Source organism: Homo sapiens, chromosome 1 (genome assembly GCF_000001405.40).
Source record: "Homo sapiens chromosome 1, GRCh38.p14 Primary Assembly".
In the NCBI taxonomy this organism is placed as follows: Eukaryota; Metazoa; Chordata; class Mammalia; order Primates; family Hominidae; genus Homo; species Homo sapiens.
Genome location: NC_000001.11, coordinates 164,225,669 through 164,239,813, shown reverse-complemented (window position 1 = coordinate 164,239,813; position 14,145 = coordinate 164,225,669). Strand labels below are relative to the sequence as shown.

Sequence of the window (14,145 nt, the reverse complement as noted above, 5' to 3'; positions counted from 1 at the left end):
TTCTGTATTATGATTAGGTAACTTTTATTATAAATATTAATTCTCATATGTATCATATGTATCTGAATATAGGCTATTCAAAGTTTTGAAGTCAATTGTATTTAGTCAATACTTTTGTGGCGCTTAATATGTGATGGCCAGATGGCCATTCTTTTAAGCATTTAACAAATCTGTTGGAAACAAGGACTTTGGAAAAGATAGCAGATTACGGTCTTGAAATTCTATGTAAGTAAAGTTGGCTGCAGGATAATCATTAATTATATATATATGTGTGTGTGTGTGTGTGTGTGTGTGTGTATATATATATATAGGCTTTTTTTTAATATGTATGATTTTCCATATGCAAAAAGCTGAAAGCAGACCATGGTTAGGTTAATGGCCTAAACTTGTTCTGCCAGGACAATCCAGGAATGTAAATGTTTGGTTCAACTCAAAAGAATGGAACTCTTGGCAACAGAGTTGTTACTTACCTTTTGCAGAGGAGAGAACTGAGGTTCACAGAGGAAGTGATCTGCCCTCAGTCACACCCCTGCATCACTTTTGGTGCCAGTGGTGTTAATGTTTGGGAAGTAATACAGCACGGAGTTCGGAGGAGCATTTTTATGGCTAAAGGGCAGCATCCTAAGCACTTTAGAAAACTAAGTGATGAGAAACCAGGTTAGATAACAGGCCTTGGGTGAGGAATAGAAAGGTTGATGGAAGGGACTCAAGATACATCACTCGTTTTTTAATTTTGCTTAAGGCTGACAATATTTCTAAAGCCTTCTTAAATAACAGGAGGAAATTTGAATGCAAGAGTTCAAGTAATAATGCTGACCTGAAAAATACAATTGAGATTAAATTTTCATTCATTTGATAAACATGTCAGGAACATTTGATATTCAGACAATAAGGAAACAAAATGAGTAAGACAGACTCTTCCATAGAGGAGCTCAGAGTATAGCTAGGGAGGAAGGAAGTGTAATTACAGTATGTAGTATTACAAGCTGAAGTAGAGGAATATCTAAATTGAAATTTAAAATATGAAAGAGTTTTTCTTATGGAAAAAATAAACTTTTAAAGTACATAGAGAAGTAATAAGGAAGGTTCTCCAACAATAAAAGCAATTTTTCTTATCTAGATTTTATACCAAATAGTTTACCAATATTGAGCTGAATTACCAACTATGTATCCAGAACATTTCACATATGCACACCTTGAGGACAAGAATTGCTACAGTGGGGACATTCAAGATCTTCAAAATCAAGATTGATGTGCTTTAGGAAATGTTGATTCTATGAAGATGCAACTAATATTTATTGAATACACCAATGTGCCAAGTAAGTCCCCATATTCCTATCACTGAATACCAAGATAGGGTTTACTAGAGAACACTCTGGTAAGAAACAATAAAACTCTTTTCTCAAAAAGTGGATTTATTTATGAGCCATTTTAGGTTTACTAGAAACAATCAGTTCTAGTGTTGTCTAGTGTTTTTAGTTCTAAAATATAGATGCACCACTATTGAGCATAACCAACTCTTGCGGAACATTTGCCTCTGCTGTACCTCTGTATTTCTTGCCTAGTTCCTCTCAAATGTCAAATTAACCTTCTGAAACTCCTTATTACATAGTATCTCCAATGAATAAAAAGACTCTTTTTGAGCATGAGTGTGTGTGAGAGAGTGTGTATGTGTGTGTATATATGTGTGTGGGGTGTTTTCCTGGCTAACACATGTCAGGATCTGCCTAAGCCCCTCACTTTGTGCTCAAATGTCACCCTGCCAGAATTCATTACATCCTGTTTATTAATTAATTAAAATATATTTATACAGAACAGGCTTTATGAGATGGAGTAAAAAATAACGTTATGAGAGGCATCCTCCAGACAGGGTGGCTTGTCTCCGATGGCAACCAGGAATGCAACTCCAGCGTTCCCTGTCAATGCCACTGTGAGAGTTGAGGTGATATGAAAATGTAGTAATTAAAGGTAGATGATCAAAGAAATTACTTCAGTTCTGGAACTGGATATGGGTCAAATGTATCTTTTCTAAATCATGGTCTGATCATAAATATCACTTTGGCTTTTTGATAAGAAAAAACACATCAGCGCTCTATACACACACTCACTCACAGACATATACACGTAACTCCAAAGGTGTCATGGGGACATAAAGTGAGGTGCTAAGGCAGCTGTGAAGATTCAGCTAATGCTTACTGACCTTCTGCTGACACCAGCCACTGGACAAGGTGTTTCCATGATCTTTTCTTCAAGTCAGCTTACTATATGACACGAGGACATTTATCTCGCTCCCTTTTATCTCAGGTTTCTTCCTTGTCTTCCAAACGTGGTTAAACAGACCTGCCCAACCTCCCGGAGCTACTGTGAGGGTACCACAGAGTATGAGAACCTGTTTGGAAAAATAAATTGACGTAGCATTAGAAATAAACTGTCATTACTGGATGGGTTTTCTAAGCATCCTTTTAGGAACATATTTTGGTGAAGCAGTACCTAGGCTGTGGCTATGGGGCTCAGTCTTGTATTTAAATAAACCTATATTGACAGATTAAGGTCTTGGGTACAAAAGTTGGAAAGGATGTCAATAATTATTGGATATAATCATGTTGTCTTGAAGATATTGTAAGCTGAGGGTAAGAAAGGCTTATTTTACAAGAAATACATATATGTATACATATATAACATACATATATATATATAAATATTCCATGAGGAACCCTTAGAAAGCTGTGATATACAATTATAAAAAAGAGACCACCCTCACTCCCAACAAAACAAAAAAACAAGAACAACAATAAAAACAAAACAGGCAGTGATGAGAAATAAAAAATAGAAAGTGCCTGAGATGAGGACTTCTTACTTTTGTCTTCCCGCAAATGCAGACATGAAACTAAAATTTATGGTACATAAAATAGTGTCAGGAACATATATTTGTTGAATGAAACATCTGAAAAACATCGAGAGGGAAGTTAGTTGTGACCAATACTCAAGTAGAAGATATTTATTCATTCTGGCTTTTATAACTAAATGGAAATCAATGCGAAAAATCAAATTTGATTTACTTAAATTTTCTTTAAAGCTTGCTTTTTAAGAATATATCTATCTAGTCTATAATATGAGGCATAGCTGTTTGTGATAAGCTGGCTGTTTGCTGTTCAATGATACTAGCAATGATTTTGAGTTGCAATCATTGGCTGTCCAATTCTAGTTTGTGGGTTGTGCTTAATTTAAAATTAATCCTTTTCAAAAAAATGTTAGGCAATAGCTCACGACTATTGTATAATGCATAACTATCAAAATTGTGGGTTACTGCTCTTATATGGTTGATTTTTCTTTCCTGACCTGTATAGAACTTTTAAAATAAGGTAGGAAAAAAAGTTCCTCAATTTGAATATTATAGATTTTTTTCTAGAAGGCAGATATAAGAATTGAACTTGAGGCTGGGTGCGGTGGCTCACACCTGTAATCCCAGCACTTTGGGAGACCAAGGTGGGCAGATCACGAGGTCAAGAGATCGAGACCATCCTGGTTGACAAGGTGAAACCCTATCTCTACTAAAACTACAAAAATTAGCCGGCTGTGGTGGCGGCTCTGGTAGTCCCAGCTACTTGGGAGGCTGAGGCAGGAGAATGGTGTGAACCCGGGAGGCAGAGCTTGCAGTGAGCTGAGATCACACCACTGCACTCCAGCCTAGGCAACAGAGCGAGACTCCATCTCAAAAAAAAAAAAAAAAAATTGAACTTGAGATTACCCAGGGGTTAATTTTCCATCTGTCTTTTATTAATGCAAAATTCTTGAAATTTAAGTGTTGTAGTGGATCATCTGTCCTTCTGTCTTGTTTACTGTATTAGGAAACAGACTCATCAGAGTGTAGCCAGCCACTCCCAGCTAATAAAGAAAGAGCCTGGGTTCCCACTCTTAGCCTAGGCCCTTGCCTCTAAAATGAGTTCCCTTTATAAAAAGTAACTTCACAGAAATGTCAAAAAAAAAAAATTAAATTTCCAAAACAAAACCAGACATGAACCACTGTGTTTTCTGACTAAAGTTTCAAATATTTGTTGGGATTTTAAGTGAGGTATTCTCTGATTTGGAAGTGAGGGTGCATTCCTAACAAAAGGAATGTTTGCCGACTTAAATTACTTCTAGAAGTCTCCAACTCAATGGGAATTTTAAGTGTAGGGAAATCTAGGTGTAAAAGAAAAGACTAGTGTGAGGTAATTTATGTTAGGTGTAACATAAGGGATAATTGTTTTACTTAATTCTACTTTCTCTTCTGTATGCTCGCAAATTATACATCATTGTACTTACTGTTAGAGACAGTCTAGGCCAAGGCAGTTACATGGCAATATGCCTCCTTCCTTTTTCTCTTCTCTTGTTGTGACAACCTTAGAAGCTATCTACTAGAAAACATTTCTACTAGATGGTGTAAGACTACCTATCCCACATGGAACGTTCACGAGCAAGAAATAAACCTTTGCTATGCTAAAGCCATTCAGATTTTGGGGCTTGTTGGATGGGCAGTTGGCATTAGCTACTCATTCTTACAATCATTATTATCAGTCCCCTTTGCCTCTTTTTCTTTGGTTCTCTGTGTATCGTTTAGGGGCCCATTGATATATATGTCTTCCTAGTGATCAGATGTAGAGTTTTCCATAAGAACTTTCCACTATCCAAAGAGAAGTGCCACTTTTAAAAATTGTATCAAAATGTTCTTTGTGAATTTTATACACCTTAAAAAACAAAGTATCTTGGTTCCTGCTAAATGCATATTTTTGTATTAAAATTTGCCTATTCGTGACTTTAAAAAGACAGCACATTGGTGGTAGTTTGAAAACTTTTTTTCTATTATTTTTTTGGTAAGTTTGTGTCTGAATAGCTTAGCAGTATACAGGCTAAAGTAGTGCTGTATATGTTTTTTCTATTGTGGGAAAGTTAAATCTGTTCTATGACCATATTATCCCATCCTTCATTTTAATAATAACTACAGCAAAACAATTATAACAATTTTGGCAAAGACTGTGAGTGGTCCTCCTTTATTCTTGTCTTCTCCCTTTCTCTCTTCCCTCAGATAAGTTGGAGCTTGGCATGTTGCTATCCAGCAATAGACTATATCACTCAGCCTCCCTTGCAGCTAGGCATGGTCAGTGTGACTGGAAGTGATATGTTTGTTCTCCAAGACATCCTCTTAAAAGGAAATTGCTTAGTCTCTCTGCTTTTCTTGGATGTGCTCCTGATGGGGCCAACTCTAATCAAGCAGGTGAGGTTAATGTCCTAAAGCAGTACTTCTCGAACATTAATTTGTTTACCAAAGAATCTTAAAATATGGATTCTAATTCAGAAAATCTGGGTGAGTCTTGAGCTTTCACATTTTTAACAAGTTCCCTGGTGATGCTGTTGTTGATAGTCCAGGACTCTGCACTTGAAATAACCAGATCTTAGAAAATGACTGACACACATGCTAGAAGAAACCTGAGACCCTGGATGACCTCTGGGAGCAGAGCTACACCCCTTACCCTGGACTACTCCTCTCTCCATTGCTTGGAGAGAGATAAATCAACTTCTCTTACATCCACCATGTTTTTGGATTTATTGGTTAGTTCTAGCCTATACTCCAAGGAATACAGAAGTAGTTATAAGGATAATAATAAAAGTAATAATAAATGCCATTTACTGAGTGCTTACCATGTGGCAGACACTTATAGTCATTATCTCTTTAATATTCATAATATCCCAATGAAGTATTATACTCATTTTATAGATGTGAAAGCTAAGGAAAGAAGGAATCCCTAACTGGTCCAAACTCACACAGTATGGCAGCATTGGTATTAAGTGGCAGCACCGTATGAAAGCTTGGATGTCTGTCCTCAAATGAGACATTTATTGCCAAACTGACCACAGTTTGACTAGTGCTTTTAAACGTGGGATCCTCCTGTTTTAGACCTTATCAGCTTTCCCCTGATTTTGTCTCTGGGTGTTTGGGTTAATGTTGACCATTTTCTTCCAGACAACAAGTCAGGGAGGATAGTTCTTTGCTATTTTTGAGAAAGAGGACCGAAAAGTATCATCCTTTCTGTCCACCATTAATTCTTAACCAAGATTACGAAAAAATAATAGACCGAGGTTATAGGAGAAGGCACTAATGTACATATAACATGTAAAGATAAAGATCTGTTCTCCTTTACTGCTTCATCTTACTAGGTTCTTGTCTTCTACTCATCAGCTTTTTTTTTCTTTTTTGGTCTCTGCTATGAGAGAGACAAAAAGAAAGAGATGCTAATGGATCACAAGCCTGCAAAATGTTAAGCCTGGTGGGGGGATGTGGGGGCAAGGGAGGGGATGCCGGAAACCAGCATACTTATCTAATGTTTTTCTGGACGCTGGCTACTTCGCCAATCAGAATTGTTAGGTGGAGTCAACCAGAGATTTGAATGGCCTAGGGAAGGGAAAATGAAAGAACTCTGGCTGCCTCCTGCATTTGTCTCATCCTGGGGATAATTAACTAATGAAGGCAAAGCCAAGTGAGACACTGCATTTCTGAAGCAGTGTCTGGGGAGAATAATAGATTAAGACATTTTCCAAACACAATCCTAGATTAAAAGTCAAACCATAAAAGGAGCCTTTCTTCCAACCCCAGAAGGGTAGACTTCACCTCTAGGGCAGACAGTTTAGGTTTATTATTTTTGTGGCAAAGTAATAATGACATTTCTACTTAAAAGTCCTTATGACCTTTCTAAGGGAGCTGTTTGTGCTTCACTTGTTCTGTCATTTTTCTCCTTTCCCCCAGAGATCACCTTGCTTTTATAACTGTGAGAGACTAATAGAAGGGGCAAGGAAGGGGTAGGAAGAATGAAAAAGACAACATATGAGAAAGAGGTAGTGCAATACTATAATAAGATAAAAAAAGAAGGTGAAGGAGGATAAAATAAGATAAATTTGTCTCTATAGTAAATATAAATTCTAGGTCTCCAAGCTGAAAATATCAGAAAATGCTGTCTTGGTGGCTGATAATTACAAAACCAATAGATTTCCGGTGAAAAATAATCATTCCTGTAATGTATAAAGCCTAGGAAATTGTTACTTAAATGCTGGGACTGTGTAACAGGAGGCTGATTTCTCTGCATTACTTTACCTTTGCCCACTTTATTCACCTCTTATTTTTCTTGAGCACCATTCAGCTCCACCGTCTGCTTCTGTGCAACCCGGTAGCCTCACTGTGATCCTCAGTTTCTTTGAGATTCTGAATTACTTCTCAACGGAATTTTTTTTTCTGGCCTTTCTTCTTAGGGGGTGTTTGTGGAGGATGTTCCACTCTAATCTAAAGGTATCTATATGTTATAGATTCCTTTCCTTCAAGATTCCATCCACATGTGTAAAATTTAAAAACTCAAATTAAGCCATTAGTGGGTAGTAATTAAACCACACATTAATCTTCTCAAGTAATATTTGCATTTTAATACACAAAGGAATTTTAGATATCTTGCTTGGAATTTTAGATATTCTGACAGGATTAGACAGAAATATTTTTAAATACAGAAGTTTTTCCAAGAGAAAGATTTATGTTTGGTTATATAAAAACATCTAGTAACTGAATCTGAATGTCTTCTTGAAAGAGAGAGAGAGAGAGAGAGAGAGAGAGAGATAAGTTCGTTAATTTTGGTATTATTGGGATCAGTTTGATACATAGTGTCTGTTCTATTTCATTTACATAGATAAAATAATAAAACTTATTCAACAGTATTCTTCAAAAAACAAACTTAACTTGCCCAATACGTGATGCATGTATAAAGTAGTAGGTTAATCACCATGCAGAATGGAATTTGTATCAACTCAGTAATTGATAAAGAATTGTAACTGAAGCACAATGCTCTTTTTTATTTTATTTTTAATGGACACGTGACAATTGTACACATTTTTGGGGTACAGGATGATGCTTCAATATTTGTAGACATCATATAAAGATCAAATCAAGGTAATTAGCATATCTATCACCTCAAGCGTTTATCATTCCTCTGTGGTAGGAACATTAAAAAATCCTCTCTTCCAGTTATTTTGAAATATGCAATATAATGTTAACTACAGTCACTGTACTATGCAATAGAATACCAGAATTTATTCCTCTTATCTAACTATAATTTTATAGCCATTGACCAGTCTCTCCCTGTTGCCCCCCAACCCCCACCACCCTCCCCTTACCAGCCTCTAGTAACCACTATTCTACTCTACTTCCATGAAATCAGTTTTTTTTTCTTTTAGATTCCATGAGTGATATCATGCAGTATTTATCTTTCTGTGCCTGCTAATTTTACTTAACATAATGTCCTCTGGGTTCATCTATGTTACTGCAAATGACAGAATTTTATTCTTTTTTAAGGCTGAATAGTATTCCATTGTGTATATAAACCACATTTTCTTTATCCATTCATTTGCTGATGGACATTTGTATTGATTCCACATCTTGGCTATTGTGAATAGTGCTGCAATAAACATGAACATGCAGATAACTCTTCAACATAGTGCTTTCACTTCCTTTGGATAAATACCCAGTAGTGAGATTATTCTGGGATCATATGGTAGTTCTACTTTTAGTTTTTTGAGAAATCTCCATACAGTTTTTCCATCATGGCTGTAAATGTAATTTACATTCCCACTGACAGCCTATAAGTGTTCCCATTTTGCCACATCCATGCCAGTATCTGTTATTTTTTGTCTTTTCAATAATAGCCATTCTAATCGAGGTGACATGATATCTCATTGTGGTTTAAATTTGCATTGAAGTGCTATACTCTTATGAGAGAAAGGGGTACTTATTAAACTCTTTATTAAATCCTACTGCCAACCAGCTGAACCATTCTTTGTAAGCAATAATAAATATTTATTTATTTTTCAGCTGCTGAATTTTGTAGTGATTCGTTACATAGCAGTAGCTAATTGAAACACTTCTCCAAGGCTGAAAAATTCTTTCAGAAGTCCCTTTAACTGATGAACACACAAAATCAGTAATAGATTCAGCAGAATTATTACAGTGTGAAATTAAGCTATTGTGAACCTGTCTTTACTTTGTGGTAAATACTTAGAAGTGATTAAGAGAGACAAGGATGCTCTTAAATTCTTCTCTTCCTTTTTCTTTCTTTCCCTTTATAAAATTTATCAATAACCTGTGATAGGAAATGACAATAGAAATAAGTAAGCCATTGCTTTGTCCTTAAGGTGCTTACAGTATATTGGTCATATATGACTGTGTGAGGGAAGGCAGACAAGTAAATGAATAATTAAAGGACATTCGTAAGACAATAACCAAGGTATGGGAACATGAAAGAAAAAGCATGATGCTTACTTCTGACTAAGAACATAAGGAGAGTGTTTACAAAAGATATCTTATTTGAGCTAAGTTTTGAAAGAATAGGTTAGAACCTTGATGCATAAAACATGATCCACACACCAGTAAATAGCATCAGCCTCACTGTAGGAGCTTGTTAGCAATGCAGAATTTGTGGTTTCTTCTAGACTATTGGATCAAAATCTTCATTTAAAAAAGATCCTCAGGTGACTTATATGTACATTAGAGTGTGGGTTACAATTATGGCTTGGGTGATGGTTCTCGTTTTGTCTACACATTAGAAACATCTGGGAGTTTTGCAAAAAAGTAATGCCCAATGTTGTTCTATCTAGAGTTTCCCATTAAACTGTCTTTGGATGGAGCGCAAACATTAAGATGTTTGGAATATCCAGGCACCAGTGAGTGGTCTAGTATGGCTACAGGCATATGTTAGATTGATAGATTGTTCAGGGGCTTTATGCTGCTGTACATCAAGGTGTAAAGAATAAGTGTGGTGAGATAGATTTCCAAGATTCTGAGAAAATCTTCTGACTCTCTAGTCTGTAAATGTGGAAGTTCTGAAAATGGTCATGATGACTTTGGTTAATGCCTGGATACTGAAATAACTTCCATGCCAAAAATCTTAGAACACCTAGAGATATGGATGTTCTAAATGAGACTGCAAAAGTTACCAAATTGCGAAGATTGGAAGCAGGAGAGAAGGATAAAGAAAATGGATCATATTAGGAGATCTACTTGTCAATGTTATAATGAACAAAAGTTTACTGGCAACTTTGAAAATAAATTTTAAATAATAGTGTCGGGAAGAACTTAATTAATTTACACACTTTCCTTATGGTTTTTGTTCAGTTCTGCATCCTGCCTGCCCTGGCTCTGGTTGGAGAGAGCATTTAAACCCCAGAATCTGTCACTGATGAATATTACAGGTCCCATGGCATTCCCACTGCATTCATTGCAATGTTTGGGCCAAGTTCCAATCAGAAAGTTACTTTCTATTGACTGTAAATTTCACACCTCTAACATGAAGACTTCTCATAACACACACTCTCTAAATTGGCTTCAAGTCCTGCTTGAAACCAAGTATGACACATACCCTCAAATGGGCTTCAAATTGAGCCACAGCCTTGGCTAAACATATTTTAATGACAACACTCAGGTCATCGAAAGAATATTTCCCTCTTCATATGATACATGTGTTGCTGGCATAAAATTATATGACTTACGTCCCCTTTCAGCATTGGGAGGGTCGAGAAATCTTTTTCACTCTCGGTCTGAAATTACTCTGCGGTATAAATTATTACTCACAGTTCAACACTTGCTGTGTTCTGCCCAGAGGTGGCTGCCTCCTCAAAGACTGTGATTTATGGGTGGAGGCAGAAGGGCGAGAGTGCCTCTGAGCAAACATGTACCTGCCCAGTGTTCCCTCTGTCAGATGCAACAGAGGGTTGAGGAGCTGGAGCCCACCAAATGAAACAAATCAGACAAATCACAGAGAAGCCTTTTACCTCCACTGATATGGAATAATTGAGGTGTAGAGGGGAATCACTGAGGGTATGTCTACTCTACTCAGCTGGTTCTTGATGTTTTTCAGATCCATGTGTGTGAACTGGACAAATCTATGATGCTTTTATTAGATGCAGGAGTTATCATAAAATATGGTGGATTTACCACAGGGCATATCTTCCTCAAATGTTATAGCTTTTTTATTATGACCTACACTCGGAGGCATTTAAATAATAGGCCTGTTGGGCTCCTTTACAATATCATATTTTCCATCTCTATCCTGCGTGTGGTTGGGATTCTATATATTTTTGACCTTAAGAAAATACAAAAAAAAGTGTCCCATTTTTATTGTAAAGGAAATAGATTTCCAGCATCTTACCTCCTTCAGAAATTGAAAGACCTGATTTGCAACTGTCTATAAAGACAGCAGAAAACAATGAAACTAAAAGATTATCTGCCATTTTTGTAAACTCTGCATGACTTGCATTAAACCTCTAAGGTGAAAGAGCTTATTTTCAACAAGTTAGAACATTCAGGAATTTAGAGTTACTAATTTTAAGAAAATAGAAAAGGGGTGCTGTGGTTATCTACCAAAAATTCAGATCTCTATAATAAGCATGTTTTCATTAGGAAAAGTTGCCTGGGAGCTATTCTGGCTTACAAAACACTAAAATTAAAGGAATTTGGCCCAGTTAGGAAATGTATCCCTGTGGATGTTCAGAGTGACCACAGACTTCAGTGGCTATGAGGGTGGGTTGGCTTGGGAGTTCCAGGAATTATTTAATCAGAGGTCATCTTCCCATAAGCCACTGCCCATGTAGGTTGAAGTTTTTTTTCTTGATTTTCTAAGTTGATTATTCAACTTTAGCTTTAAATTTCTCTTCTCTGTGTGCATTAAAAGATTAATTTCTTATGCTTTGGGAGACAGAGTCTGTTTTACAGAGGTGATCTCTGTGCACGTAGAGGAAAAGCGATGTTTCTTAGGTCTTCCAATGGATCCTGGCAGATTTTAAGTGAAGATACCTTCCCAACCCCCATTCTGAATTTCAAGTCTTTTCTCTCTAGGTTTACTATCTCCTTTATCATGCAAGTGTAGTTCCTAAAGACACACTTCTCAGACATTATTAACCATTAGAAGAATATTATTAAAGGATCAGTTTGCTAAATGTTAGCAGCATTGCCAGTAGTTACGTTGGGAATTATCTTAAACAAGATAATACATTTGTTTTGTGTGTATCAACCGTAATAGATGTGCATCTATTAGAGCATACCAGATATTTTTGATGTGCTTTAATCTAGATTTTAACAGTGAAAAAACACATGAAAAAATACCGCATAACAATATATCATAATACATATTATATACTATGATATATACATATGCTGTATATTGACAACTATATATAGCTATATATGTTATATATATCATGGTAAACATATATAATAATTGATATAAATAAATTTTAAATTTTTTTCTTAAGAATGAGATGCATAATTTAGTTTCTTCACTTTGACACTGCCTATGTGTATTTCAAATAATTGATTTGTAGAAATTCTGTTTATGCATAAATTCTTAGGAGTGCATTTGGGATATTGAAGAGTGCATAAAGAGTAAAGATTGTTTAGAACCAGACTATTTAGAATTTCAACTCTATCAAGATGCCGAGAAGCACAGTAGAGTACCAGCCTCTAGGATCACTATGTATGTCAAGGAAGGTTTCCCAAAAGATATGACAATCAAGCAGAATCACGAAGGACAGGGAAGAATTCAACAGGTAGAGAAAGAGGCGAGAGCATTCCAGGCTGACTCCCAGTAGAATAAGAAGATGCAAATGTTCTAGGCGCTGGGGGTGGAGAGAGATGGATGCAGTAAGGCTGTAGAGGAGAGAAGGATCAGGTCAGGAAGGGGTTTGTGGTCCAATCTATGGCACTTTTAATTTATCCTGAAGCCATTGAAAGCTTTTAATACAGAAAGTGACATGATGAGTCCTTTGTTTCTGCCCAGAGAGCTTAGCAGGTCATATGCATAACTTTTTACCACGCATACCTAAATACTTGCCATTTCTATCTAACCTAACACACATTAAATAATGTTTGCGGAAAGTGCTATGGAGGGGATCAGATTTGGTTCGTGTCACTGTACAAAAAGAAAGAGATAATGGCTCTGCAGCGTAGACAGCAAAGTCTTTCTTTCAAGGGACAGGTAGGCCTGTGCAGCTGGAGACATTGAATTGAGTGAGACCTCTCTGTTAAATACCTCCTTGTATTAGCAAAGCTCCTTGAGTGGCCTTGAATATCACTGAAGTGCCAGAAAGCTTTATAATCCATAGCTTAAGTTTATTTCAGTGATATGTCGCAGGAATTGTTAAGTAAGAACATGAGCCTGTCTATTCACCCTAACAAGTGAGAGAGGCCAACAATATTTCCCGGATCAGAAGGTGTGTAATAGGAGGAATGGATAAGGCTTCTTGAAAAATAACAGCTGAACCAGAGGAAAGGTTGAAACAGAGTCCAGGAGTAGAGTTTAGCAAGTCCCTGGAAGAAAGAAGTTAGGTTCCATTTACACAATATCGAGTCTGTGCCAAACATAACTAAATGTCTCCTGTATAATTTTGGTTTGTGTGGTTGTAAGATTTTATGGGCTCTTGGAACCAAGAGGAAAGACCAATGAGGAAAGTAACTGTCAACACATGTTCTTAAGGAAATCATACATATCAATTCAACTGGCATTCGGGCATGGTGCTGACATAATAATTTTCAAGCAAAGGTGTGAGATACATCTTTTATACCAGGCTTCAATCACCTGCAGGGACTCCCTGTTGTAAGAGTGGAGAATCAAATGCGGCTTAAATGAAAATAACTTTATTCAGGGAAGTAGGTTCCAGTGTTAGGTGAAGCAGTGGCAAAAACTGATTTTTCAGACCCATGGAGTGTAATCTTTATTCAAGATTATCTTCTTTCTTCCTTCTAATCATACAAAATAATGTCTTCAAATAAGTAGGCTGATCTACCTATGAAAAATATAGTTTCTGTAGGCCATACATTTCTAGCAATGGAGATATTTTTAGTTAAATTGTATTAAAAAGATGGCCGGGTACAGTGGCTTATGCCTGTAATCCCAGCACTTTGGGATGCCGAGGCTGGTGGATCACCTGAGATCAGGAGTTCGAGACCAGCCTGGCCAACATGGTAAAACCCCATCTCTACTAAAAATACAAAAATTAGCTGGGTGTGGTGGTGGGCTCCTGTAATCCCAGCTACTCGGGAGGCCGAGGCAGAAGAATTGCTTGAACCCAGGGGTCGGAGGT

At 36.7% G+C, this 14,145-nt stretch overlaps 1 annotated feature.

Moving 5' to 3' along the window:
* Window positions 2,767-2,936: an enhancer, noted in NCBI's record as "experimental_757 CRE fragment used in MPRA reporter constructs". NCBI's record gives its function as "activates a minimal promoter by MPRAs in K562 erythroleukemia cells, with activity observed for both the introgressed and non-introgressed 1:164206200 variant alleles {active_cell/tissue: K562}" and the evidence as "EXISTENCE:reporter gene assay evidence [ECO:0000049][PMID:34662402]".